This window comes from Homo sapiens, chromosome 3, assembly GCF_000001405.40.
Source record: "Homo sapiens chromosome 3, GRCh38.p14 Primary Assembly".
NCBI lineage: Eukaryota > Metazoa > Chordata > Mammalia > Primates > Hominidae > Homo > Homo sapiens.
In genome coordinates this window covers 157136832-157143017 of record NC_000003.12, presented here as the reverse complement: position 1 = coordinate 157143017, position 6186 = coordinate 157136832, and positions in this window count along the sequence as shown.

Below are 6186 nucleotides of genomic sequence, written 5' to 3'. Positions count from 1 at the left end.
TCTCTACTAAAAATACCAAAAAATTAGCCAGGCATGGTGGCGGGTGCCTATAATCCCAGCTACTCAGGAGGCTGAGGCAGGAGAATTGCTTGAACCCAGGAGGTGGAGGTTGCAGTAAGCCGAGATCGTGCCACTGCACTCCAGTCTGGGTGACAGAGCAAGACTGTTGAAAAAAAAAAAAAAAGCCGGGCGTGGTGGCACATGCCTGTAATCCCAGCTACTCGGGAGGCTGAGTCAGGAGAATCACTTGAACCCAGGAGGCGGAGGTTGCATAGAGCCAAGATCGTGCCATTGCACTTCAACTTGGGCTACAGAGCGAGACTTAAAACAACAACAACAACAACAACAAAAAAAACATGAGATCCACAATACTCCAGGCCACAGTTAACTAGCATCCAGTAGCCATCCGGGTGAGGCTGCATGCTGCAGTGCGTGACGATTCCCTCCACCCCCTGTTAATTGTGTAACACTGAAGCCAGGTGCAGGTGTCAGTTGGCAGGTATCAGTGTGCTGATGCTATTTTCTTGAATTCTGCCCTTTTGCTCATTGATGTTACTTACTTGGCTCTTGACACCTGATATCTCACGGAATATTCCAAGACAATGTGAATCACCAAATCTGTGAATGTGGCATTGTTTGACTAGGCTCCTGGGTCAGTTAAATCAGATTGTTTTCTGTGCCCCAAATCAGTAGTGAACCACCATATAGCTAAACCTTTTCAAACGAATTTCTCACTTCAGTGACTTTTACACTGCTAGAGCACTTAACAGAGCACATGACACATCATATCTTTGTACAGAGGGCCCGGCACATAAATCTCACTGTGAGGCTCAGTTTTCCACCCTAAATTACAAAATTTAATTTCTTGCCCAAAATGATTTTCTGCCCCAGATGTGTTATTTTCATGGACCTTTCAAACCAAATTTTAGTCATTTAACAAAAATTAATACAACATAGACCAACAATGAACAAATAAAGCCACATTTAAATTGATTAGCCGGGCTCTCAGCCCCTAGCTGACTTCTTTTACACACGCAATTGAAATCAAGAGTCTCAGATAAACTTCCAACTTATTTGAAAACAGTCAAATTGCAAATGTCAAGCATCTACTTGCATATAATCTGATGAGGACTATAATGATAGGTTTCTACCTAGAGAAATAAGGGTAGGTGAAGTCTCAATGCTTAGATACGTGGCACATACCTGCATGTAATTAATATTCAGTTGGAGGCAAAGACAATGTTTTAAAAAGCCAAATGACATCCAGAATAATCCTCAGTATATTTTAGAGCCAAGCAACAGTACAATGAGTGCCAAGTTTAAAGAAGAAAGATGGACCACTGTGGCCTAGAAGGCCCTGGAAAATTTTTAGAGGACAGGGAATGTGGGCTGCACTTTGGATGGGAGAAGGTTTTAAAGGACAAAGAGGAAGCCTGGCATAGTGGTGCACCTGTAGACCCAACTACTTGGGAGGCTGATACAGGAGGATCGCTTGAGCCCGGGAGTTCAAGACTGTAGTATGCTATGATTGTTCCACTGCATTCCAACCTGGGCAACAGCAGCAAGACCCTGTTTCAGGGTAAAAGAAAAAAAGAAAGACAAAGAGGAAGAGGCCCAAGAGATGGTGTTCAATGCTGACATCCTCTATTAGCTGTGCAATCTTACACATCTTACTTAACCACTCTAAGCTTCCATGTTCCCTTCTGTAATGAGTTAGTAATTAAGCCTAGTGTATTCAGATATGAAGGTTAAAGGAAATAATGTATATAATACACTTAACACAGTGTTAGGTGTGTAAATGTCCAATAAACGTTATCATTATTAGCATCTTCAGACACTTGAGGATGCCAGACTATGGCGTCTTGTAGACCAGAGCGCCATTGTTTTAAAAGTGGGTGACTGTAATTCCTAGGGTTTCCTAGGGCTGCTGTCACAAATTACCACAAACTTGGTAGCTTAAAACAACAAATAATTACTCCTTCACATTTCTGGAATCTAGAAGTCTGAAATCCAGATGACAGCAGGGCCATGCTTTCTCTAAGTCCACCCTTGTTTCTTTGTAGTTTCTGGTGGTTCCCGGCAATCCTTGGTTTTCTTTGGCCTGTAGCTGCATCACTTGTCTCTGCCTCCATCTTCACATGGCCTTTTTCTCTGTATGTGTATGTCTTCTAAGGATACCAGGGCCTGCCCTAACCCAGTATGTCCTCATCTTAACAAAGTACATCTGCAAAGACCCTATTTCCAAATAAGATTACATTCTGAGGTTCTAGGTGGACATCAATTTTGGGGAGACACTAGTCAACCCTTTTCAGTGACATAAGAAAAATAATAAAGAACCTGAAGTGGACTTTTAAAGAAATTTTCATTTTGAAATAATTTCAGATTTACAAAAAAGTTGCAAAAATTGTGTGAAGAAATTTTATATATCCTTCACCCAGATTCACCAAATGTTAACATTTCACCACACTTGCTTTTTCACTTTTTGTGGTGTCTTTTCTGCTCTGCTCGAGAGTAAGTTGCAGTCATTGTTTCTTTACCTGTAAGTACTTCAGTATATATTACTTAAAAACAAGGACGTTATCTTACATATCCACAATATAATTACCAAAGTCAGAGAATTTAACATATTGACCAATACTGTAATCTATCGACCAGACATTGCCAATATTGCAAATATTGATCTATTGATCAAATATTGCCAATTTTCCTACTAGTGCCCTATTTTCTGGTCCAGAATCCAACCTAGAATCATACATTGTCTTTAGTCGTAATCTTTTTAGTCTCTTTTCATTGTAATTGTTCCTCAGTCTGTCTTTGCTTTCATAACCTTGACATTTTTAAAGAGTGAAAACCAAACTTGCCCAATCCACGGCCCATGGGTCGCATGCAGCCCAGGATGGCTTTGAATGTGGCCCAACACAAATTCGCAAACTTTCTTAAAACATGATACTTTTTTGCGATTTTTCTTTTCTTTTCTTTTTTTTGCTCATCAGCTATTGTTAGTATTAGTGTATTTTATGTGTGGCCCAAGACAATCCTTCCAATGTGGCCCAGGGAAGCCAGAAGATTGGACACCCCTGTTGTAAACTGATGGTTCTGTCGAATATTTTTTAATTTGAGTTTGCCCTATTTTTTTTTTTTTGTGATTAGATTTGGGTTCTGTGTTTTTGGCAGGAGAAATACAACAGAAGCCAGGTTGTGTCCTCAGTGCCTCATTAGGAGGCACAGTGTTAATTTGCCCCAGTAACCAATGGTGTTAACTATGATCATTGGTTAAGGTGCTGTCTGCCAGTGTTCTCTATTAAAAAGTTACTATTTTACACTTTGTAATTAACAAGTAGCTTTTGGGGGAGATACTTTAGATCATATAAATATTGTTTCTTTTGTTTTTTATTTATTTTTTTGAGACAGAGTCTTGCTCCATCTCCCAGGCTGGAGTGCAGTGGCATGATCTGGGCTCACTGCAACCTCTACCTCCTGGGTTCAAGTGATTCTCCTGCCTCAGCCTCCCAAGTAGCTGGGATTACACACGCCTGCCACCACACCCAGCTTTTTTTTTTTTTTTTTTTTTGTATTTTTAGTGGAGATGGGATTTCGCCATGTTGGCCAGGCTGGCCTCAAACTCCTGAACTCAGGTGATCCACCCACCTTGGCCTCCCAGAGTGCTGGGATTATAGGCGGGAGCCACTGCACTCAGCCTAGATAATATCAATAGTGCTTCTTAATTAACTTCTGCCTACTAATTCTAGCATCCATTGATGATTTTTACCTGAAATAACTATTGAAAATGATTTTTAAATTTCAGCATTCGCTCGACATTTATTAGTTGGAATGCCACTGTAAGAAAGAGCTTTCTTTTCTCCTTCATTTATTCATTTGTTTATATGTTTCAGTATGGACTCATTCTATGAAGTTATAATCCATTACTATCATTATTTCGTTACTCAAATTCCGATGTGGCCAATGGAAACCCCTTTAAGATAGTTCCTGTGTCCTTTATTATTTATTTATTTATTTAGATGGAGTCTTGCTCTGTCACCAGGCTGGAGTGCAGTGGCGCGATCTTGGCTCACTGCAACCTCCACCTCCTGGGTTCAAGTGATTCTCCTGCCTCGGCCTCCCGAGTAGCTGGGACTACAGGTGCGCACCACCACGCCCAGCTAATTTTTGTATTTTTAGTAGAGACGGGGTTTCACCATGTTGGCCAGGATGGTCTCAATATCTTGATCTCGTGATTTGCCCGCCCTGGACTCCCAAAGTGCTGGGATTACAGGCATGAGCCACCACACTCGGCCTCCTGTGACCTTTAAGATGAATATTTTAAAGACTTTTTCCCACATGTGTACCTTTCCAGAAGGTTCACACCATTTGTGCTTTCTCTAGACCTGTATAACCAGAAGCTCTTGGGAACATGAGTTCTTGAGAATATCAGCACTGGCGTCAGAGGGGATGAAATAACTTTCAAAGATCAGGATAACTACCTTGCCAATGTATAGGGCTTCTCATGGCTGCAGTTTCCAGAACAACTTTTCTTTTGGTCCAGGACGATCTTCCCCATTGCTGTGGTTTGGATATGGTTTGTTTGGCCCTGCCAAGTCTCATGTTAACATTTGATACCCAACATGTTGGTGGCAGGGCCTGGTGGAAGGTGTTTGGGCCATGGGGTGGATCCCTCATGGCTTGGTGCCATGCTCAAGGTAGTAAGTGAGTTCTCGCTCTATTAGTTCCTGTGAGAGCTACTTGTTAAAAAGAGACTGGCACCTCCTCCTGTCTTCTTGCTTTTGCTCTTGCCATGTGATCTCTGTACACACTGATTCCCCTTTGCCTTCTGCCATGAGTGGAAGATTCCTGAGGCCCTCATCAGAAGCAGATGATGGGTACCATGCTTCTTGTATAGCCTGAAGAACCGTGAACCAAATAAACCTCTTTTTCTTTATAAATTACCTAGCTTTGGGGCCGGGTGTGGTGGCTCACGCCTGTAATCACAGCACTCTGGGAGGCCAAGGCGGGCCATTCACGAAGTTAGGAGATGGAGACCATCCTGGCTAACACAGGGAAACCCCGTCTCTACTAAAAATACAAAAAAATTAGCTGGGCGTGGTGGCAGGCGCCTGTAGTCCCAGCTAGTCGAGAGGCTGAGGCAGGAGAATGGTGTGAACCCAGGAGGCGGAGCTTGCAGTGAGCTGAGATCGCGCCACTGCACTCCAGCTTGGGTGACAGAGCAAGACTCCGTCTCAAAAATAAAATAAAATAAAAATTACCCAGCTTCATGTATTCCTTTATAGTTACACAAACGGACAAAGACACCCATGCACGATCGGTTTCCATAGTCCTACAATCTGTGGTTCCTTGAACGCCTTTCAGTTTGCATAGTCAGTAATAAGAACCTACGCCACTAGAGGTCACTCTTTGGCTGTCTGTGATACAAGATCTTGCTCTAAGTTTTACTTCAGCTGACTGGCAAGCCTTATTCTGAACACAATAAAGGCTTGTCTGTTTACAAAGGAACACTAATGTCTTTAGCTACATCCATTTAAGCCTCATTTAGGCCTTTAATCCAGACTTGAACCTTTGGCAATAACTCTAAAGGTACATACCTTTGCTAGATTCTGCTGGCAGAAGAATAGATAGCAACCCTTATTTATATAAGCACTATGTGCCAGATGCCATTCTGCTTCACATATATTAACTCATTTGACCTCTTTCTAAAACCGTGTGGTGGGAGAGGAACCCATGAGTTGGTGATTTCACCCAGCTAGTAAGTGATTGAGCCAGGATTTAGTTTGTTGCAGAGTCTGTATACTTAACCACTCTACCAAGCCCGGGCTGACTGGTCTCATTACAAAGCATCCACATAATGAGGTTTGAACTCATCAAAAGTCTTTTAGAGCTCAGCAGTAGACGCTGCTTGCCACGTGTGTGCTACTGGGAAATTGTCCAGCAGAGTCATGCACATACCCACACCTGCACCCAGCCCGTTGCTTGTGGTTGCAAGCTGTCCAGGTCCAGAGATCAACTCCAGTAACCCTGTGGCTCCACCTGCCACCCCATTCAGTGTGGTGCTCAGAGAACCTGAGGGTGTCAGCTTTTCCTTGCTTTGCTATTGCTTCCTAGAAGCAGTGTCAGCTTGCTTTGGAAGCTGCTTCAAATTAAGCCCCAAGGTAGCTGATAAAGTTTGAGGTCTTT